The following is a 24,303-nucleotide window of genomic DNA, read 5'->3' as shown; positions in this document are numbered from 1 at the left end:
AGTTACTGCTAGGAGTTGCTTAGGCAGTAAGAGAAGAGGCTGTTTTCCTTGGAAAGGCCTAAAAGCCTGAATCTCCAATTTAAAATTAAATTTTGCTGTGACTTTCCTGCAGGATCTCAGGTGAGAGATACTTCTTGCCCTCCAAGACTGAAAGCCTAGTTTGTCAGTACGTTAGTTGAGTACTGAGGGAACGCCCCTTTGAGCCATAGCACTGGGAGATCCAGAAGGGACATGAGCCACCATCTCTTTCAATGACCTTGTTTTTATAGAAGAGGAAACTGAGCCAGGGGAGATGAAATGATCAGCCTAGTGCCCACATGTTGGAGAAATTACAGGACAAACAGACAGAGGTCCAATTTCTGCACCTAAAGGGCTGAGACCGCATGGGTCTGCGTCCTCCTGGGTCCGCCCTTTCCTGTGCCTGTTGCATGGTAGATGCTTAGTGAGCGTGTTGCCCTGAGACCATCCCATCTCCAGATGGCTGGTTTCCAATGTGATTATGAGGGCAAAGTCACTTCCTCACGGGGGGCTTGGAAAGTAAAAAAGGAAAAGTCAAAACACATAAGAAATGGAAATAACAGAGTAAGCCTGTGTGTTTTAAAAACTACTATTTATATCTTGCCTCCTTCCACAAAGGATTTAAGGCAGCTTAGGAGAGTTAAACACCAACACCAGAGCCCTCACTACACAGTAAGTAACTAATTGCCACGTGAGGCTTACAGATAAATGCTGAGAGCCTGGGTGGGGGAAATTGTCTTTGCTGCTGCAGAGACGTTTTAGGCCTGTCTGGATAAACCATAGGCATAATATATAAATAGAACCTCAAAGGGACACTAGGGGCTCTGTTGCCAGAGGTTTATTTTTCTTTTTTGGTTTTTGTATGAGAGGGCCTTGGTTATGGCTAGGGAAGTGGACAGGGGAGAGAAAAAATATTTATTTTCCAATGTATCAATTTTGTGTGCCATACCCTGCCTTTTCACATATCTCTTTCAGAAAGTTCTCCACGTTTACATTTCTGGAGAAGTTAAAATGAAAGACCCTGTTTACATTTATAGTTAAAATTAAAAACAGGATTTACCTGGGAGCTAATACCCTCCAGTGACTTAAGGTTGGAAATTAAGGCTTCCTGGCTTATCTTTCTTAAGGATAGAAAACTGTTCACTCCTAAATCGCCCCCTAGTGGTCCCTTAAGTCACTGATAGTCTCCTGCCCGAGGAGCTGCACGGCAGGTCCCAGTTGGAGGCACCATCATCTGTTGCATTGCTCCAAGGTGAAATTGGCCATCACGATGACAGAATTCTGCAAGGAGAAACTTCGGTTGACTTTTCTTCTTTCACTCCCAGGGTTTTCCTTTATGTCTTCACTGCTGTTTCCAGATTTCTGAAGAACAGTGCAGGACTGAGTTTATGCACGAAGCTCTGAGGACCAAAGGTGGAGGGAGGTCTTCCTTGAAAATTACTTTGCTGAGGCCTTGCTCCTTGTTCAAGGCAACACTATGGGAGGGGTTGTATGGTGGTGGCTGCTGCTCAGCAAGGGTGTCCAGCATGTGCCGGGGAAGAGAGGTTTTTTGAAGTACATTTCTAGTCGATAGCCAAGCCTATTGTGAAGAGTGGGAACAGGGCTGGTAATAGCTGCATCTCTTTTTTTTTTGAGACCGTCTCAGTCACCCAGGCTGGAGTGCAATGGCACAATCTCGGCTCATTGCAACCTTCACCTCCTGAGTTCAAGCCATTCTCATGTGCCTCAGCCTCCCAAGTAGCTGGGTTTACAGGCACGTGCCACCATGCCTGGCTAATTTTTGTATTTTTAGTAGAAACGGGGTTTTACCATGTTGGCCAGGCTGGTCTGGAACTCCTGGCCTCAAATGATCGCCCACCTCGTCCTCCCAAAGTGCTGGGATTACAGGCGTGAGCCACTGCGCCCGGCCAGCTGCATCTCAGAATTTTTGTTAGCGAGTCTGACTTACAATTGCCAATACCTGAGAGTTCCTTTAGTATGCAGTTTTAGATCTCCACTAAGGCTTCATTTAAATACATCTTTTCTTTGCCAAGTGTTCAGCTGCCAGTAGTGATTTCTCATATGGCTGATTCTAATTAGACCTGACATTGTCAAACTCCATAACTTCTCCAAGTTACAGAAGTGATACAGTTTCATTTCTAAAAGCACTGGAAAGCTCAGAGTGAGAAGTAACCTGTCATCTCACAATACAGAAAAATACCTATGCCTTACGTGTGCTTCATGAGGGGGTGGTAGAAAATGAGAATGAAATGGCCGGGCACGGTGGCTCACGCCTGTAATCCCAGCACTTTGGGAGGCCAAGGCGGGCGGATCACCTGAGGTCAGGAGTTGAGACCAGCCTGGCCAACATGGTGAAACCCCATCTCTACTAAAAATACAAAAATTATCCAGGCATATGGTGGCAGGTGCCTGTAATCCCAGCTACTCGGGAGGCTGAGGGAGGAGAATCACTTGAACTCGGGAAGCAGAGGTTGCTGTGAACTGAGATCTCACCATTGCACTCCAGCTTGGGGGACAAGAGCGAGACTTCGTCTCAAAAAAAAAAATGAGAATGAAATCTATGCTTATATGTGTGCATAAATGTTTTTAAAAAGAGATCATTTTCTGAGTGTATTGTTGCCTACTTTTACTTTGCAGTGTTCCACAAACAATATTTTGTCATTAGGTAGTTTTTCAGCCTCAGGGCTTTTAATGGCTATGTAGTATTCAACCTATGCCTGTGCTGGCTGTGATGCAATTTACCTCACCTATTACTATGGTTATTTTTACCATTAAAAACAATGCTGGGTTGAAGTTTTTTTTGTTTTTTTGTTTTTTTTTTTTTTGAGACATGGTCACCTGGGCTGCTGGAGTACAGTGGCACAGTCATAGCTGATTGCATCCTCAACCTGGGCTCAAGCCATCCTCCTGCGTCAACCTCCCTAAGTACTGGGGTTACAGGCATGAGCCACCGTGCCTGAAGATAATTATATGTAAATCCTTCCATTAACTTATGTTTTCCTTAAGAAAAATTTCTAGAATTGGAATATTTGTGTCATCATTTTAGATATCTCTCCAGAAAAGTTGTGACTATTGCTTTCCCACAGATCATATTCGAGTAAGTCTTTTCCCTGCCCCTTCCATAATACAGGGTTATTTTCAACTTTGGCCATGTTGTTGAGTAAAAAGTGGCACTAGATTATTTGAGTAGCTGATTGTTATCTAGTTGGATTGAATTTTATTTTCTTTTTCATTAGCCAATTGTATTTCTTCTTTGGTGCAGTTGCTTATGTTCCCTGTTACTGGGCTGGGCTGTTTATCTTTTTTCTTATTGATGTAGAAAAGCTTTATTTGTATTAAAGATGTCAACCTTTTCATCTTTGTTGTACACATTTATTCCCTGAATATGGTTTGCCTTTTCCTGAGACTGGGAGATGCCAATCATTAATTATATGATCAGAAAACTGTTATCCTGCCCAGGCCCGACTTCAGAAACGGACGTTGCAAGATCAACCTGACCAGCCCTGGGGCCTGTGCTCTCTCAGCCCTGAGGTACCACCTGCACCCTGTTATTCTGCTTATGTTGATATTCAGACTTGAAATTGTTCTGAGGATATCTTGTGTATTTTATCTCAGTGCAGAGATAATGAGTTTCACATGGATGGAGGGGATCACAGTGGACACCATTTCCTTTATTTTTTTTCTACCTGCTCTCTACCTGCCCGTACCTGAGTTCCATGGTTTGTGGCTGTGTTGATTCATGGGAGTCTTAGGGGGGATACTTGTCATATTTAAATGAGTTCACTTGACCATCCAAAAGATGGTTGAGTGCCTCCTCTGTGCTTATTACAGAGGGATTGGTTGGAAAGTCGGTTGGGGGTCTCTAATCCAGCGCAATTTTATTTTTTGCCTCAAATTTTTAAATAGAGCTTATTTTTCCTCACACTGACTTTATGTGCTGTTTTTTTTTAAAAAAACAAGAGGACATATCAAATCACCTATAAACTGATGCAGTTTGAATATGTGTGCTCTTCTGATACCCAGTAAGTTTCTGATGATGAAAATAAATGACCTTTAATAAACAAGTTACTTAGTAATATGTATATTAAACAAATAGTAATTCGTATTGTAAGGTTCCAAGCTTCGAAGGCTTGACAAATTCAATAGAATATCATCCACAAGGTAGACAATTTGAAAAATCCTGATTTTCTGATAGGTCTACTGGTTTGTTAAATAAAATGTTTTTTTTAATTTGAATAACCAATTGATGTTTTGCAATTTTTGTTTGGGAGAGGTATTTTTGCATTATTATTTCTACCCAGTGTATTTGTAGTCTGATTCTGCTAAAACAATAACAAAAATCTTGATGGAGTAAAGATAGTTGGGTGAATTAAATTCTATGACTTTTAATTCTGTGCCTTGAATCCTGAAGCAAAGTCTATCTTTAAGGACTGGGGTTTTCTCAAAGGGCTCAATCAGAGGGTAATTTCATATCAGAAGTGCTCCCAAATGATTATTCGTGGGTAACCAGTTACATAAAATGTCATCGTGTATAAAAGTATAGTTTAGTTCTTAATTAAAAAGCAAAATCTTTGCCTTCAGCTTCGTAATCTCATACTCTCAAATTCCAAGCCACCTCCCATGGGTGTCACACTATCTTAGACTAGGAACGGGATTTGGCTATAAATAAAAAACTAGATAGAATATCATTTCCAAAGAGCCAAGGGCACTTGCTGGAGTTGCTACAGAGACTATCCTTTTCCTATCACAAGCACATTCATATGAAAACATTGTTGTTTTGCTTTTTCCATACTTACTTGGAGAGAATTTCCCAGGAAGCCTTTTTGTGTATTTCCCCACAGGTCAATCAATTATGTTGTTAATTAATATAATGAAAAATTAGATCATATACATGCACTTAAATGATACTAACGCAGTTATCTTTATATATACAAGCTAGTGACTTATGTGGGTATAAGACCTCCTTAATAAAAAGTGGTATACTTTGGAGATGGGAAAGTGGCTTGTGGTTGCAGGGAGGTGTTAAGTCACAGCATTATTTCACTTCTTGAAAATGAAGCCCTCAGAAAATGGAGTCATTACAAAATATGTCAGATCTGTAATCACCAACCAAATGATTTGTCAGAAGCAGCCCAGGTTAATAATGGCTGTCCAAGAAAGAGTGTTCAGATGCATGTCAGGGCCGAATTGAGTCCACTGGTGTGGCTGAGATGAGGAGTCCAGAAAAATAACATTCTCTGTTTGGAACCAGGAAGGTTGTCATGGAGATGAAAATCTTCCTGGTCCCATAAAAACCCTGCTTGTCATCTGACTTGAGCCCCGTATTTGCACAGGTGGTTCTCCTGAGAAGGGCTGAGTAAAAACAAATCTATTCTTCCTGAATGGCGCCTTTATGTGTCCAAGAGAATATGTTTCCTTTCTTCAGTCCCTCAATTAATGACCCATTATCAGCTAATTAAATCATGTAAATTTTATGTGAGTTCATTTGTTACACCACATGCTAACTAAGTCTATTCCTGTGTGTTTAACCATATAACTGTTTTAATTGTGAGAATGAGGTACATCAGGTGGGCATCTGGAGAGAATAATAAAGTACTCAAGAAAAGCAGACACACATACACAGCAGTGTAATATTAATTTCTGTTTATAAAGAAGGCAGAAATATGAATAAGTGAATGTCTAGCACATGCCCTGTGACTTCGGGATACTGTGTTCAACTCTATTCTCTACAGAAAAGGAGTCACATGGCTGGGTTTCTGTTTCGCTGAGTTACGTTTCAGATGCAGAAGTCGACTGCATGATACAAAAACACATCTGTTTAGGCTCTCCCCCTCCCCACTCTTGCTTTCTTTCCTATGTGTCAGAGAGCAGAACTTGATCTTTGTATACATTTTGTATAAAAGCCTTAATTCTAGGTTTAATTTCAGTTTGTGATACCTTTCTGCCCCAAAAAAGTTCAAAGCTTTTACCAAGTTTCTCAAGGCACGTTCATGGTTGCACTGAGAGAGTTGAGTTCAGACACAATAAATGCTGTGTTACATTTTTGGAAACGTACTTGTATTGTCATTTAAGACCTTGCAAAGTACATAGGGAAAAGCATTAGATGATGTCCTCTATAGTCAAAAACTACCAAACAAAGCAAAAGAAGAATTTTTTATTGTTCATTGGATAAGGCCAAGTAGACAGCAATGGGAATAATACTTTCATTAAAGCTTTACGGATAAAGAAATGATTTAAAGTGAAGAAATCATACTTTTTTTGAAGCCTGGTATTTAAAGAATGAAATCATACTTCCTTGAGGTTTAAAAATATTCATGTGTAATGCTAGACTTTGGTTATGCATTCCCAGATGTTTAACGCACTCATCATTTGTAAATGGAACTTACGTCAGATTTATGACCTCAGAATCTTCAAGTAAATAAAGGACCACTTATACATTTGCTTGTAAAGGTAGCACCTAATAGAGAAAATTTGAGGGAACCATTAAAACAAGTATAGGTTTAGCTTATAAAGGAAACACTAGTATCTAAAACTAGTTTAATTTCTTTTAAATGGACTGGGTTACCAAAGTACTTCATGACATTTTATGTTAGTAAAATGTTAAAATTTTTAAGTTAAAATCAAGAAAGCATTGAGATAAAATTGTTTTATTCAAAACAACAAAACTACTATCCATGATAGTATAATATTCTCTGACCAACAGTATTCATATACACAGCCCCAGAAGTGCAAAACCACAACTGTGTTTTCACACCTGTCTCTTGCAAATTCTTACTTAACAGATCAAAATGACCATCTTGTAGAAAGTATTTTGTGTAAGACACTGTCACCTGTGAGCCAGCAGGTGGTGCTCTGGTACCACGTCTTGATCATTCGTTTCAACTGAGAGAGGAGGGCTGCAGTCTCAATGATACCAGGCTCTAGGATTTTCTGTAAGATGCCACACAGCTGATCTTTAGAAATACCTGGCCTCTGGGGGATTTGCTTTCCATCTGACCATTTAACATCCTTGACCGAGCTGCCTTCTCTATAGCTGTACTGTTGAAATTTGTCATTTCTTACAGCTGCCTGGTTTCATGAGCTGCCAGTCTCAGAACATAGCATACCATAAAATAGGAATTCTGACCACGCAGCCTTATGGGTAAGGCAAGGGAGGGAGTTGAAGGGAAACCGCTATAGTAAAAGAAAACTCAGAAAGATAAATGTTAAATAGAATCAATGGATATTGGAGAAGATAATTTTAGTTGTTGGTGGCCTTAACTTATGGAGAACTCAGTATCTTTTCTCAGCTCCACCTAACAGTTCCCATCTTTTAGGAAAGCAATTATTTAGATGCCAGAGAACACCATTATGGAAATGGAATCTTTTTAAAATAAAAACCTATCATTTTGACTGCAACCAAGTTATAGTTTTGACTGAATGCATAATTATTACCCCAAACAAAAGGTTTTATACCTGATTCCATGCCATGATTCTTCATTGTGACCCTTTACTTGATTCTCCATCATGAGCAACCAAATCAAGATGCACATGTGTAAGTAGTGCCTTATTTTTTTCTCACTTAGCCCACTGTTGTTTCTCTTTGCTTAATAGCACAGCTCTAAGAAAACGGTTGCATTTGGTCTACAAGCTAGCAGCAATTCAAGGAGCTTCATTTTCTAATGACTTGTTTTATTTTATTTTATTTCATTTCATTTATTTATTTTGATACTGAATCTGGTTCTGTCACCCAGGCTGGAGTGCAGTGATGCGATCTCAGCTCACTGCATCTCCGCCTCCCAGGTTCAAGCGATTCTCCTGCCTCAGCCTCCTGAGTAGCTGGGATTACAGGTGTGTACCAACATACCCGGCTAATTTTTTGTATTTTTAGCAGAGATGGGGTTTCACCATGTTGGCCAGGCTGTTCTTGAACTCCTGACCTCAAGTGATCTGCCCGCCTCAGCCTCTGAAAGTGCTGGGATTACAGGTATGAGCCACCACACCTGGCCTTCTAATGACTTGTTTTAGAATGTGGATGTCAATGTCACCCACCTTATTCTCACCAAATATGGAGCTAGAGAGCCAAGTTTAACGAGGTTTTCCTTTGACACCCTGAGAGCCTCGCGTTGCATCCACTTCTTTCCAACATTATTATTTATGCTTTTTACATAGTAGGCACACAGCAGGTATTTGTTGAATGAGCCATTGCTAGATTAGAAGTGGGAAAGACTGACAGTCGAATCGTTAGGAGTCGTCTGCAGTCGTCAAGGTGAGTGATGACAGTGGCCTGTATAGGGAAAGGGGGAAGCTGGAGATGGGATGGATGTGCCCTGTTGGAGAGACAGATTCCACAGAATCTATGAGCAAACTCCAGGAACATGTTAAAAGTAGATGAGATCCTGAATGGAGGGCATCACCTCCAAAGCCCGTGTCCCAGTTGACAGTGGAAAGGACTCAGAGAGATGCCTCTAGCTCAGGTGAGGAGTGGATGTGATTTTAAGCCAAGGTGGAAAACAAGTGGGGAAACTGGTTCTGCTGTTAAGAGCCCAACAGCTGTGGCTATGTGTTTGGATTTTGCGACTCGAATCAGGTTCATTAATTATGGCCAAATGTTAGCAAGAGTTTATAATGATAAGCTGTGCAAAGAGTTTCAAAAATTACAAGTATTTCTGAATTGCTTACACGGACATTGGTAGGGAAAGAGAAGAGAAGATGGAAAACAAGGAATATACGACACCATGCTTGCCCTTGAGAATTTTAGAGTCTGTCATGGGAGACCAGACTTGCACGTAGGAGGCAAAACACCAAGTAAGAAAAAAAAAGAAATGATATAGCTCAACATGAGCAGAAGAGTTGGTGGATAGATTCACATAGGCAGCAGTGGATCAGTTAGGCTGTGTGAAGAAATGAAAGCCTTAAGATTGAAGGCTTTGGAGAGAAAAAGAGGTTTCTTTAGAAGGCATTGGTGTGGTGGACAGAGGTAGAAATGACCTGGAATAAATTTTTAGGTGGTTTAAAGGGGTGACCCAGCTTGGGAGGAGGCGAGAACTGGCAGGTGGGCTAGGCTAGGTTAGTAAGATGCCAACATAAAAAGATGAGGAGCTTTACCCTTAATCCACTCTAGAACAAGAAGGCATTGTTGGGAGGAAAAGAGCATGTTAAGGCTGTGTTTTAAGAGGATTATTCTGGCAACAACACTTATATAGAGTGGAGCCATGGTGATTAGCATTCAGCAGTCCTGGCAACTCAGCTCAGAAATATTCAGGGCCCAAAGTGAAATGTGGCAGAGCTCATGTGGAAATGGGGTTGGAGAGGGGAGTATCAGAAAGCATTTTAAAAGGCCAAGTTCAATCTTAGTGACAGATTAAAAAAATAATAATAAATAATAAGGACAGCCAGGCACAGTGGCTCATGCCTATAATCCCAGCACTTTAGGAGGCTGAGGTTGGAGAATTGCTTGAGCCCAGGAGTTCCATACCAGCCTGGGCAATATAGTGAGACCCAGTCTGTACAAAAAATTTAAAAATTAGCCAGCTGTGGTGGCATATGCCTGTAGTCCCAGCTACTTGGGAGGCGGAGGATCACTTGAACCCATGAGATCAAGGCTGCGGTTAGCCATGATCACGCCATTGCATTCTATCCAGGGTGACATAGTGTGACCCTGTCTAGAAGGTGGGGGAAAAAAAGCAAGGGCTTTCTTTGTAACCCCCATTCCTGTGGTGATGGGGTTTTCCAAATAATGAAAGAAATCCTCAACACTAAATAGCAATAACAACCACAACAATAATATTAGCTAATATCCACCAGGCTTTCTGTGTGGCCAGCTGTGGTCTAGGCTCTGTATGTTGACTCATTTCATCATCACAATAATGTAGAGGTAGGTACTTTCATTATCATCATTTACTATAGGCAAGGAAGTTATGTCATGGAGAGATTATGTAACTTGCCAAGAAAATACGACTAGGAGGTGGGAAACCCAGGTATGAGCCAGGGAAGCTTCCCCAGATCCCCTTACTGCTTTTTGTAATCTAACAGAAGACCCAACCACCACCACCACCTCAGGCTTTGGGCATTTTAGAGGATGTCATTTAGATGCCACAATATTAAAATTTCATCGATTTCTTATCTAGCGATTGACTAGAATAGTTTCAGAATTAGGATCATTCCAGAAAATCCAGAACTTGTGGTTGTTAATATCTAGAGCATCCACCCTGGAGCCTTACACGAATAGTAGCAGATGCCTCAGATATGTTTTAGGTGGTGAGTTGGTGTAAGGACTCGAGACAGAGATGACTGTGAGTCAGGTCTGAGAGCCTGGGAGGGGAGCGGCTCATGGCTCAGCCTACATGTGTGAAAACCACAGCGTGTGGCCATGTGAGTTACCAGCGTCACCTGGGGCCAGCCTGGGCCTCGTAGGTTTATAATTTGGTCATGGATGCTCCCTAATCACACTATACGGATTACAAATGAAAACTCCATGAGATCAGGACTCGCCGGTCTTCACTGATGTTTGTAACCAGTGCCCAGAGCAATGCCTGGCACCTGGCATTTGCTGAAGGGGACAAGGAAAGAGGCATGCTGTTGGCAGGTGGTAAGGGATCCAGGACACTCAGCAGAGTGATTACGGAGCATAAGAACCAGCCGTGTGGTTGTTTATCCCTTTCGTGCGGTGTCACCGGCCACTGGGAATCTCCTGGTTAAACCTCGTCTCTCAGGCAGGAACAGAGCCTGGTTTCTGCCTATGCTGGGACCCTGCTACCCCAGCTTGTATCTCAGAAGACAAGCAGCAAGCCTGACCAGCGACCCGCACAGCCAGCATCTGGGTCTATGCTGTGTGTATTGTAAAAAGTTAACATACGGGCCAGGCACGATGACTCACACCTGTAATCCCAGGACTTTGGGAGGCTGAGGCAGGTGGATCACGAAGTCAGGAGTTCGAGAACCAGCCTAACCAACATGTGAAACCCCGTCTCTACTAAATATACAAAAATTAGCCAGGCGCGGTGGCGTGTGCCTGTAATCTCAGCTACTCAGGAGGCTGGGGCAGGAGAATCGCTTGAACCCAGGAGGCGTAGGTTGCAGTGAGCCGAGATTGTGTCATTGCACTCCAGCCTGGGCAACAGAGCTAGACTCCATCTCAAAAAAAAAAAAAAGTTATGAATCACTGTGGGCTTGGAGCATCTCCCCCTTTCTCCTGCTAGCACAAAAAGGTAGCGTTAGGTTATAGGGAATAGCAATTAATTCATTGTTTTTGATGTTGCAGTTAGGGAAAAAGTACTCGACCATTTTTCAAATGCCTAGGTGGTGTTGTTTAACTCTGGTGAAAGCAGTGCTTAGAGTCCTGTGTTCTCTTTTGATACTGGAGCCAGCGGTAGTTTGGTACATACTACCAACTGTCCCCCAACACTAACCACTGAATGTCTACTTATCCCAGCTGGGAAGGCCAGGAGCTTTTCAGGTTAGTCGGGATACACATAAAGTCACTGTGGATGGACTTGATAGATAGAAACTCAAGTCAGGAGGATGGAGAAAATGGGATGGGTCTGGGAAGTATTTTCAAGTGGAGTGACAGGGATTGATGACTTACTATGTCTGGAAAGTGAGGGAGGGAGAAAGATGATTTTTGTATCTCTACATGACAGAGGCAGATAACCAGGATTTGTGGCCTTACCTTCTCTGGCGGAACTTCAGATATAACAGATCTCTGCCTAGAGGAGAGGAAGGAGTTAGAACCAGCAAGCTCAACTGTTGTTACCTCAGCATCTTCCCAGACCCTACCACCCTTTCAGGTCTCTCTTCAATTATCAGCATACTATACCTAAAGTGCTTCTCCCTTGGGCAGTGGTGGGGGGTTCTTGTGGGTGTGGGCCCAGAGGTTCGAGTCGTGCCCCTGTTACGTCCCCATCACTGCGCTGAGCTGTTGGCGGGGGCGGGGACGGGGGGCGCTGTGCCGGCCCTAAATGAGTTTTCTTTCCTCCCTTATATCCCTAGATATATATGGAGACAAATCTGTTGCTGTGTGCTGTCCCTGTTGTAAAACCATTTGAGGTATATTTGAAACAAGATTAACACGTTGATAACTGTTTAAGCTGGGTGATGGGTACGTAGAGTTTCAGGACGCTGTCCTCTACTTTTATATACGTTTGGAATTTTCCAGAATAAAAAAAATTTTACAATGGCAATAATCACCTTTAATTCTTGAGCCTTTCTGTACTTTGAGTTTTCTTAAATCAGGATGCACCTCTAATATCAGCAGTGATAATGAATCATTTGCTTTATAATAGTAGCTGATATTCCAGCTCTTTTGATTAGTAAAAAAGTTAAAAAAATTTTTTTAAAGTAGCTGAATTCACAAAAATCTGATCATTTGGCTTAAAGATGAGTTTTCATGGCTTTCTTCATTATTGATAAATACACCAAGAAAAGCAGGACCAAAATCCCACAGAAGCTGTTTCCACATTTACCTAAGTCTCCCTGTAAAATGCATGTGTGTTACTGCTCTCCAAATGTACATTTTTTTTTCTGTTCTGAGTGTAAAAAGCAGACAGAACAGGGAAGCAAATGTTCCTGAATGGCCACATTTAAATTAATCATATGCTGTCTTAAAGAAAGCAAAATAAACAAGCTCCAAACCGAAATACTCTGTAGTATTTACCCAATTATTTTTAAGCATAGAAAATAAGGCCCAAAGTGTGTATTAGTCACATTTTAACATCAGAGTCACCATATAATTTAGTTCATTTGTTAACCACATCAGCACACGTGCGAATCTCAAAACCCTGCCATTTGCTGTGCCCATACGTTAATGATTCTGCTGAAGACAAGGCCAAATACAGGACGGGAGAGGAAGAAACTGTGTCCTCAGTTAGCTTCCTTGAATATAATTAGTAATGGTCAGCGAGCTATTGATTACATAGTAAAACTTACAATTGTTTGCTAATTTGAGGGATGGATTGGCCACCTGGTAAAGCTTTAAGTAAAATATTTTTTAAATAATGTGGGGTTTTCTTGGGTTTGTATCTTTTTAATTTTTTTACCTTTTTTATTACTAACTATAAAAGGACTTTTTGTGTGTTGAAATTTGAATATGGATGGATGTTAGATGAAATTAAAGAATTGCTAATTGTGTTATGTGATATTAGCATTGTAGTTATAATTTTGTTTTTTTTTAAGTCCTCTTTACTTAGAAATACGTTATAAATTATTTCTGTGTGAAATGACATGGTCTCTGGGATTTGCTTTTAAAAAAAACACCCAGGAAATAAAAAGAATGGCGAGTTGACATATGAAACAAGAATGGCAAAATGTTGATTAATCATTCAAATTGTGTTGGGTACATGAGAGTTTATTAAGTTAGTTCTCTATGTTCGTATATATTTGAAAATTTCCATAATAAAGTGTTAATAAGGAATCAAAGGAAAGATAAACATAAAAATCAGAATATTTACCTCTCCGAAGAAAAAGAATGAGGTAATTGGATTGTAACCCTCAATAGGCATCAACAACTTGGAAAATGTTCTTAAGTTAAATGATGGGTACAGGGTATTTTTTATTCTTTGTACTGTATATACCGTGTGTGCATTATTTTGTATGTATCATACATTTCACTTTAAAAATAAATGAAGTCCATCAATATGGAGCAGTTTTTTTTTTCAAGTGCATATCTTGACTTGAGACTTAGTCTTTCAGGCTGTACTTTGATGAACAGATAATCCTTATAATTAACACATCAATTAAGAACAGATATATGGTGCTGAAAATCTTGGCAGGGGGGATGGGGATAGGGGGAAGGGTAGGGAATTAGATCAAGTAAAAAATCGATGTTGAGTACCAGCTATGGTTTCTATCTTAATTAGGCAACCTTCCTTAAAGATATAGCAGTTCTTGAAAAGCAAGAAGAGTGATCTGATCCTTAAAAAGTGGAGAAAAATAAACAACTTTCATTTACATAAACTTTCTTTGGCACTGCATTTTTGCTATTGCCAATATCATAAAAGTCTGCCTTGTGTTTTATAACACTGGAAACGTGAGCATAAATCAGTCCTAGAGAAGTTCTAGCCTTATGTGTGTAAAGAGGCTTATGCCTCGATGTTCATTGCAGCATTGTTTGTAATAGGGAAAAAGACAATCAGAAACATCCTAAGTGTCCATCAATAGCAGAATAATTAAATAAAGTATAGAATTAAAAATAATAAGACAAATATATGCGCACGGATAAGAAAGGTCTCTAAGACATGCTGTCCAGAGGAAAAAAAGTTACAAAATAATACATGATGTTTGATGGCATTTATGGGAAGATGCATATACATGAATCAATATAAATCTGTAAGTGAAAAGATCTGTGAGGGCATACCCCAGGTAGATGTCAGTGGTTTCTCCTTGGAAGAGGAGATGACCAAAAGGAATTTTAGCTATATTAAGCATGTTCTAATTTTTTTTTACAAGCAAAATATATTTGTTTCTTACTTCCATAATTAAAAATTCTTTTAAAAAGCAAACCACTTGCTGAAAGAATCTTGCTATCGAAAGAAGCTTTTCAATAAATGATTTTGTAAAATGATTGTTTTTCAGGGTAAAGTGATTGTTACATTTTGTAAAGTGATTGTTACATGGGCATATTGCGTGATGCTGAGGTTTGGGGTATGCTTGATCCCGTCACCCACATAGTGAGTAATACCCCATAGGCAGTTTTCCAGCATTTGCATTCCTCTGTCCCCCCTCTAGTAGTCCCCAGTGTCTGCTGTTGCCATGTTTATGTCCACGAGTACCCAATGTTTAGCTCCCACTTACAAGTGAGAATATGCATTATTTGGTTTTCTGTTCCCTTGTAACACTATCTCTTCAAGTTACATGTTTTCTCGATTGGGTGTTGGAAAAGTAAGCTATATCTTCTATACTGTGGAAAGTTAAGGAACCAGAAATCATGTTTTTCATTCTCTAAAAAATTATGTGTGCTCTTTAGATATTATCTTTTGATACTGAGACTACATAAGTGTCCTTCAAATAATGCAGAAGAAAAAGATCATAGGCAGGCAAAAATTACTTAATAAATTAAGCTTTTTAAAGAAGTGAAAGAATTATATCCAGAACCAACAGCTCTTAAATATTCTATTTCAATAAAAACAATTTATATACAATTGCGGTGAAACTTATTTTTGGCAAATACTCTTCCGTAAGTTATGAACATTTCTCTTGATAAATTTTATACTAGGTATATAAGTTCCTTTATTGGTGTTTTGGATGACAGCAAATGACTTTCCATAAGGCAGATGTAGATTTTATTCACACAACTTTTCAGGAGTAGCTTTATGTAAATATGTTAGGACTGTCCTTCCTTGAGCTTTACAGTTAACCAATGAAAGTGAGTTATTTTAGGGAATGGTTAGATTTGGACATGGACCAAAATTAGTTTTCTAATGAGTGGTGTTAAAGATGTGTAACTACTATTACAGAGATAATGTAAATGGCCTTCTACTTCTTAATTCTCTGATTCTGATCTTGTTTTGTAGTAAGAAAGGCTCAGTATGAATTTGAGGTACTTAACTAACTTGTTACAGTGGTGGTCAGTGAAGAAAGATTCTATCGGGCAGGACTCTCTGGAATGCATGTGTCAGAAGCCCAGCCCAAATTGGCCTCAGCAGAAAACAAAACATAGCGAAAAGCAAATGACAATTCATTGGCTAAAGCAATGGAAAAATACAAGGATATCTAGCTTGAGACTCAGCTAGAGCCAAATATTCAAATCTGGTCATCCAACGTTGATTGGTCTCTTTCAATTTACTTAGCTGTGCTAAACACTGTTGGCTTGGTTTTGGGGCACGTTCTTCTCAAACATGGTGAAAGTGGCCCCTAGCACCGCCAAGATTGATCCTGTCACAGCCCAGCAATCCCAGTGGTTGCTTAAAAGCAAGTCCTTTTCTTGATAATTCTAGCAAAAATCATAGGGAGGTCACCCATTGGCCCAGTTTAGGGCATGTGCCATCCCTTAACCAATCAGCAATCTGACTAGCCAGGCCTGAGGCACCTCTTCATCACTAAAACTAGTCGTGATAGAATCAACTTAAGTGGAACCCTGTTGAGAGAAGGAGAGGAGGGATGGCTGCCCTAGTGGAAATGAGCTATTACCAAGAGTGGATGAGGGCGGGCAGAAACAAGAGGTGCACATTACAGGGATACCAGGGATTTGAGTCTGCAGTCTCTCTGATTTTCCATGAGTGCTTATCTTCTTGGGGGAGGTGGGGGCGGTGTGTGAACATCCACACAGCCTCCTGCTCCTCCTCATCTACTGGGGCGCTCAGTCACCCAGGTTTGGAATGCTTCTGAGGTGATACTTAATGTTACAGTTCATGGTCACCGTGCTCCATGTACGTGAGGTCATGTGTATTGTGTATTGTCACTGTCTCTCTTCCCAGTTATTTTTTTCAGTCAGGTGCTAGGGAATTCTCCTTTTCTTACTATGTCATGGCTGTCCTCCCCACTCCATGGGGCTTTCAGAAAGACAGGTAGAACATAAGAGTCTAGAGAGACCTTGGGTGTCACCCAGGCCATTGAGGCTCCATCTGGGCTTGAAAGAGCCCTCACCTGCAGTAAAGGTGCCTCTGAGGCCAAGGAGAAATTATGGCATAAGAAGGGAACACCAAGGAGATGGGGGCCCGGACATACCCTCTCCCACCTCCTTCAGATTTCATTCTTTATAAAATTTCACATAAGGGAAGAGTCTCCAAAGTGTAAGGAGGGCCAAAAAAAAAAAAAAAAAAGGTTGAAAAGCCTTCCATCTAGTCTAACCCTAAGAGTACTCATTTATTTTTGTTTTAATTTTTAAAAATTGATACATAATAATTGTACATATTTATGTGGTACATATGATATTTCAATACATGCATACAATATGTAATGATCAGATTAGGTAATTGGCATATCCACCACCTCAACCATTTATCATTTATTTGCACTGGGAACATTCAAAATCCTTTCTCCTAGCCATTTTGAAATACACAGTACTGTTAACTGTAGTCACCCCACAGGCCTATGGAACAGCAGAGCCCTTTCTTCCTGTCTAGCTGTCCAAATGCCAGTGCTTAGCAGCAGGGCCTCAGTACCACACTGCCTCCTTGGGTGCTTCTCTGCTGAATGTGCCTTATCTTTTCACCCTTCTCTAAGCTCCTGTGAAGCGGGGTGTTCTTAAACACCTCTGCAGCCCCAGATCACTGAGAACAGCACCATGCACCCAGACATCCAATGAATACCCTTCACGTGTGCTTTGGATAATTGTTAAGTCCCATATTTTTTAGAGCATATTCAAGGCAAGGGTCATAAATTCAAATGCCCCCTAGGGCCAAGAAGGCAAAGGACAAGAGGGAATGAGACCAGGGACCGTAGCGAGCTCACAGGCACACAGCCCAGCCTATGATATAAGCTACTCCAGAGCCCTAGTTATCCCCAGGAGGAGATACAAGCCCACAGCTGCCTGCACATCCACATTTTTGCACGAGAAGACAGAAATCTGGGTTTTTCTGTGAAATATTTTGATAATTTTATTTTGGAAACCAATTTAGAAATTTCAGAGGCCCCTTGAAATTGGTTTGGGGGCCTGATATGCTCAGGAAAGGGATTCTACAGTTAGAGAATATGAGAAGCACTAGTTGAAACTTTCTTCACTGCTAGTTTTCAGAATCTTTTTAAGAGTGTTCTTTTCAGTGGTCTGTGTGTTTTTCCTTTAGAGAGGGTGGGGTGTGAAGAAGCACATATCAAAGGCAGAGGTCCCTAAATTCATTTCTTGCTAGAGCCTTGGAGTACCCTGAGACGTGTGAACCCTGCACCTCTGGTCCAATCAAGAACCTTCTGGCTTCATGGTCGCTCATGCCTGTAATCCCAATGCTTTGGAAGGCTGAGGCAGGAGGATTGCTTGAAGCCAGGAGTTCAAGACCAGGCTAGACAACAAAAAGGGACCCCCCAACTCTATAAAAAATAAGTTAAATATTAGCCATACACAGTGGTATGCACCTGTAGTCTCAGCTACTCTGTAGGAGGTGGGAGGATTGCTTGAGTCCAGGAATTCAAGGCTGCAGTGAGCTATGATTGTGTCACTGCACTCCAGCCTGGGCAACAAAGCAAGACCCTGAAGACCCTGCTTCTTAAAAAAAAAAAAGGAACCTTCCACACAAGGTTTTTCTTTTGCTCTTCCTGTTGACTGGAAGTCTGTCTACTTGAATTAACAAGGGCTCTTCTTCCCATGACCTCATACTCCTCTCAGTTTAAAATCTGCATTTGAGCAATGGATGCAAAACCTAACTGGCAATATAAATTTGCATCTTCTTGAAATGGGCTCCAAGAAGCAGGTTTGTGGCCAGTAGAGCCAGCTCAGAACCCAGGAGTGGTACAAAAAGCATTCAGATATCAAGATTCCCCTCCTGGCTGCATCTTCCATGGGGGAGGCCATGAAAGGGGCCCCTGGTGAACCATTGAGTCATTTATAGGCTAATCTTAGTACACTCCCTGAAGTAGGGAATGACATGGGCTGCAAGAATTCTTCCTAAGCACCCCAGAGAGAACTTCACCGATTTAAAATATGAGTTTCTGTAACCTGAGCAGGAGCTTGCGTGGTACAAGGGCTTATGCAGCCTGCCTGCCAGGAGGCCAGAGGGTCGCACTTATGAGCTTGAGCAAATGGGGCTTTTGGGAATCAGCAGCCTCCCTGAGCTTTCCTGGAGCGAGCTGAACTGACCCTGAACTTGGAGGGCTTGCCTGGCAGGCTTTTGCTGTCTCCTGATATTGCAGTTTCAACATGAGAGGGGCAGGAAATAGAAGCCCCGTGCGTTGAAGGACTGCTGTGCCTGCACTTATCTCTGGCCAGGGAGTCCTTGGACACTGTTTTCTTTGGCAGCCAGCTGGTCTAGGTCACTTGAATTCCTTTGAAGTTCAGGGATACAGGGAGCGGTAGCCACTGCCTGCATTCCTTACTCAGGAGGCAGGCATGGGGTCTGCCATTGCTTACCTGCCAGAGAACCAGGCCTTCATTAGAAAGGTCATTTTTATGTGACTATGACTGAATAGTTCAGCCTTTTCCCCTTAAGTGGGATTTTGTGCTGATTCAGCAGTAAAGAATAAGCCCATACCCCCCATTTTTGTTGCCATTGCTCACATTTGAATTTATAGGTGGAGAATGGGTGAAGAAAAAAAACCTTTGATCTTTGGTACAAATACAGCTGTGGGGCTGTTGCCCACATTTGCCGTGATGTAGATGCCCATCCCAAAAGGAGCAAGATCTGCTCTTGCAGTGGGTGTTGAGAGGGGCTGGGAGGCTTTTTCAGTCAAATATGGAGCTGAAAACTGTCAGAATGTGCTGGTTGTACATTATCAATAAGAATCCTAACAGGAGCACAGTGTGATTTCTCTTCGTAGTGGGCGTACATGGTCTTGGGTTTCCATGTGCAGCAGTGAGAGTTGGTCTCCAAAGCAGAACGGTCAGCATTAACTTCAGCCAAGCAAGCATTCTGTATGGGGTGCTCCCTTTAAGCCCAAGGGAAAGCAGGCTCTGCTGCTTTTGCCACCTTTCAGAGGGAGAGGTGTGCCCCACCAGGGGTGCAGGTGTGCTGGGGCGTGAAGATAAAATTAGTTGTTTGGAAAAAAATAATGTCTTTAAGTTTCTGCAGAGCAGATCGTACCAATTAAAATCAGTTCATCAGAGGATTTTTTAGTCAATCCATACATTCACACATAAAGAGATGTGATTATAAGTAACTTGGCTGATTCCACAAGCTACTCACAAAATCAGATCATTATTTTGTAATCACATTTGTGGGTTTAGATGCCTGAGAGACCTTCTGAACCATCACCGTTTTGGGTGCCTGTGAGAATATTTGAAACTACCGGCCGGGCGTGGTGGCTCACGCCTGGAATCCCAGCACTTTGGGAGGCTGAGGCAGGCAGATTACTGGAGGTCAGGAGTTGGAGACCAGCCTGGCCAACTGATGAAACACCATCTCTACTAAAAATACAAAAATTAGCCCAGCATGGTGGTGGGCACCTGTAATTCCAGCTACTGGGGAGGCTGAAGCAGGAGAATCGCTTGAACCGAAGAGGCGGAGGTTGCAGTGAGCCGAAATCATGCCACTGCACTCCAGCTTGGGTAAAAGAATGAGACTCCATCTCAAAAAAAAAAAAAAAGAAAAGAAACTGCCCATATGCATGGCTAGGACAGCCTTGATGTTGTATTTAGTCTTATGCAGGGCAACTCCTCTGAAGTCCTCCTCTCACTTCTCACTATCTTACACTATTTGTGATAGACAATGGAGAAAGAGGGTTTTCTTCAGCAGAGTTGGAGTATCTACTCTGTACTGGATGCTAAGGATACAGTGCTAAACAGGATCAGCCACATAATTTGCAGGGACCAGTGCAAAATGAAAATATGGGGATCCGTTGTTTGAAAAAGCAGGAAAAGGTACCATTAAAGATATGAAAATATAAAGCTTTTCCTTTTCTTTCATGATCTTTCTGTCTCCCTGTCCTGCTATTTGCTATTTAATGCCATGCATTTTCAGGCAAGGAAATATAGCACAAGTGGAAGAAGCTGCACCCTGCCCACTAGCTGCTGGGTACCTCTCCTGCTAGTCACCTGCTCAGTGCACTGTGCCTTGGCTGGGGCTGGGGAAATCAAGCCAGGTATCTCCCCCATCCCAAGGGCCTGCAGCCCTAATCCACACCCAATGCATGATGCCCAAAGATATGGCAACCAATGTGCCAGGATGCGTTAGGCCTATCGAACACACTGTGGCACTGTCATGCCCACCCACTACAGGCACACACACCTGACTCCAACCCTCGCCTCTCCCAGGCCCCACCAAGGATGGAAATCAGCAGCAGAGATGGGGAGGAGGGGGCCAGGAGGGGCCAAGCCTCCAGGTCCCCAGTGCATGCTCCATGATCCCATCAAATTTCACTTACAAAACACAAATTTTAAGATAAAATTATTTAGAATTTTAAGACAACCACTAGAGCATTAAGCCCCAAGCACAGGGTTCTCCTAAGTGCACGAAGCCAGCCCTGTTGGTAATAGAAAGATAGGAAGATGCCTCCCCTTACCTATGAATATAATTTCTTCTAAGGGCTAAGTAAGACATAAACAAAGAGGTCAGGACAAAGAAAGGCCGAGAAGGTGAGAGACTTGTAGAGATGGTAGGCAGGTGGCTTCTTGGATGACAAGTCATTGAAGCCAAGTCCCAAGCTATGAGAAGGTAGCATCCAAGGGAAGAGCTGGGAAGATTGTTCCAGGCAGCAGGGACAGCCTGTGCAGAGACCCTGTGGTAGGAAAGAACCTGGCTCATTGGAAAAACTGAAAGAAGGTTTTGTGACTGGGGCCTGGGGACTAGGGAGGAGAGTACCATGGGAGATAGTAGGAAAGGTTGATAGGGGCAGGCAGATATTTGGAGACAGGGTAAGTTTTATCATCATAGCCTTTAATTTCCCCAAGTGGTAGCTGTATCTTTCTACTCCTCCCCATCTTGGGTTAATTTCTTCCTAAAAGGCAGAGGCTTTAATCCCAAGGAAACCTTTAATAGAAAAATTTACATTTTAGTTCATTTGTTTCCTTAAAACGGGGTTTCATCTGGTAGCTATCAGACCTGTGCTGGCACCTGTTGTGGCAGTTAATTTAAAACTCAGAACACTTTGTGCCTTTCATTTGCCCCCTTGAAATATAAAAGCCTAGTGCCACCGTTGCAACCTTATTGAAAAGAGCTTATCTAAAATTGGGGAATATCAGCCCACAGTAGGCATATAATGTGTTTTTCTCCTACACACTGCTGTGAGATAAGAAAATGGTTTCTAGGGTTCTCATTAGGTGATGTTTCTGGGAGTCTTTGCCCTGTTGTGAAATGGCCTTAAAGGTGAATGCTTTAAGTAATGAGCAGCCAAAGGCCCCGCTTCTGGCAAAGAGCAAGAAATTGCTGGAAAGGTCAGATGGGTTTCAAAAATGTTCTGCATTTGCCTCAAATAGTGACACAGGAATTATTCAGCTTACATAAGAGCTGTTTATAGGTGCTTGGAGAAAATCAAGGTTGTGATTGTTTTGGCTATTTAATGGGGCATATCTGTCCCAAATTTATGGGGGAAAAAAAAGAAAGTAAGTTTTAGCCAGAGAAGAAAGCTTAGGGTCACAGGAGAACAGAGCTTCGAAACGGCCTGGACAGTCCCAGCAGTCATTAGCTGGGATCAAGCAATTGTGACATCTTCATCTTGTGTATTGTAATGAACTGATTAGTCCACCCCTCGGAAAACATAGAAAAGCAAAGACAGCCTTCTCCTGGGAGGTGTAAAGAGTGAACGTTTAAAATGACTGTCTAGGTTCCTCTGCTCCGTTTTATTATTTAAGTACTTATATTGGTGGCTTTTCCCCCCAGAGGTAAAAAATCATTTGCTTCCTTTTTAAAGAAGAACGTGACCCTCTAATAATAAGGCACAGAATTAAATGCCACTTAAATTTATTATAGTTAAAAAAAATTTTTCTAGAAAGTGGCTTGAATTTTAGAACCTGACACTATCATGTAGGAAATACCTATAAATTTAGAGATATTGAAGTTATTGAAAAAAAATCCAGCAAGTTGACATTTAGATGCCCCTATTAAAAGTCAATTAATATTGTGGATTTTTTATTATATTGCTATAAAAATCCATTTGATTCTCATGTAGATGAGAAGTTTTGAATATTTAGATGTCTTAACTAATTTATTGGGGGAAAGAGGAGACAAGGTGTAAAATACAGTGGGCACCAACTTTGGAGCAAAAAGACATTTTAACTAGACAAAGATTTAGCTTATAATAGGCCATAAGTTTAAGGCTGTTTCTTAGGTTGATTTATTTATATCTCTCCAGTCCTTTCCAAATAATCAGTTTTCCTGATATGAAATAAAATATCTGACCTTTGATATGTCCGATGATAACGTTTAGTTGTTATCTATGCCAATCAGTTACCGCCAGCTTTGCAAATAATCACAAAACAAAATATCTTCCAGCTCTGCCTCCCAACTTAACCAATGCTACATTGAGGAAACTTTCATAGACCTGACAAATTGCATGTATGACTTTTTCCTTCTTTTAAAATTATGGTAAAATATACTTATTATTTTACTATTTTAACCATTTTTAAATGTACAATTCAGCGGCATACATTACATTCACGTTGTCTTACGTCCATCACTTCTATTTCTTAACCTTTTCATTACCCTACACAGAAATTCTGTAACCATTGAACAAATGCATGGCTTTTTGTTTATTTTTTGGCTGGTTTAATGGGGCTGTTTTCAGGCTTTTAAGAATCATAATGCTTGGTGGATTGATTTTTTTTTCCTTCCACCTCATGCTCTTCTCCATTCTATGAGTGCCCTGCCAGCTCCAAAGCCATGGGAATCCCCAGCTGTACACTTGTGCCTGGATTGGAATCCCACCCCTCCTATCCATGGGCTCTTACACAGGCCATAGAACTTGGAGTTATTGCCCATCAGAGTCAAATTCAAGCTGTTGACCTAAAAGCGAGCCATTCCCAGCCACTGGCATCTCCCAGCCCCCACTGTCTGCTAATGTGCTTATTATTTTTCTGTTTCCTTCACTATGCAGTCTCTTCTTGCAGCGTGCTCTTTCCCAGCTTCCTGTCAGCTTTATCCACTTACCTTCCTCTGATGAAGATAAAGGTTTTTTGCACAAAATCTGCTCAGCCGCATTCCATGCTGTGTGCTGGCAAGGGCATTGCTAATAGCTTTAAAATTCACTTAAAGAAATTGGAAACAGCAAGTCACGTGCAATCATTGTCAGGCATGTTGTTAATTACTTGATAGAGATGCTATATGGACTGCCTTTTGGTTGTAATTAGAGGTTTTTATCATCTTTGCCTTGCCTGTAAGCTTTTCCAAATTTCTTTATGAACATTACAAGTGGAGATGGATAGGCTAACACATATCAGATTACCTGCCAGTTTCCCTGAAATTGTCTTATTTAATTGTCACTCTTTGCATGCCACTTGCATTTCTTTGGGTGCTTGGATTAGAAAAATGATTTTTCATCGTCTTATAGTTTAAAATTAGCATTTCCTGCCACCAGTAAGTTTGGACTTGACCAAGATCTCATTCAGAAAGTTGTTGGAAGATTAAAATACTCTCACCTATGCTAAAATAAGAGCTTAATTCTTTGCAATGCTTTGTAGTATTTGACTTTGAAGCTGCCAGAAGTTTTAGTAGCCAAGTAGTAGTAGGAAAACTACTTCAACCACGAAGAATCTGAATTAGGAGCAAGCTCTAAACCACTGAAAAATATTTC

General features: G+C 41.3%; 1 protein-coding gene across 4 annotated transcripts in view, besides 2 other annotated features; it reads left to right on the top strand.

Moving 5' to 3' along the window:
- The window catches only part of PDZRN3 (PDZ domain containing ring finger 3), a 242,511-nt gene that overhangs the window by 115,203 nt on the left and 103,005 nt on the right, over positions 1–24,303 (top strand). The window lies entirely within an intron of this gene.
- Positions 7,003–7,072: an enhancer, noted in NCBI's record as "active region_20102". NCBI's record gives its function as "activates an Ori minimal core promoter by ATAC-STARR-seq in GM12878 lymphoblastoid cells {active_cell/tissue: GM12878}" and the evidence as "EXISTENCE:reporter gene assay evidence [ECO:0000049][PMID:35858748]".
- Positions 10,165–10,244: an enhancer, noted in NCBI's record as "active region_20101". NCBI's record gives its function as "activates an Ori minimal core promoter by ATAC-STARR-seq in GM12878 lymphoblastoid cells {active_cell/tissue: GM12878}" and the evidence as "EXISTENCE:reporter gene assay evidence [ECO:0000049][PMID:35858748]".

Source organism: Homo sapiens, chromosome 3 (genome assembly GCF_000001405.40).
Source record: "Homo sapiens chromosome 3, GRCh38.p14 Primary Assembly".
Classification (NCBI taxonomy): domain Eukaryota; kingdom Metazoa; phylum Chordata; class Mammalia; order Primates; family Hominidae; genus Homo; species Homo sapiens.
The sequence above is the reverse complement of the archived record's forward strand: the minus strand, read 5'-3'. Positions and strand labels throughout refer to the sequence as shown.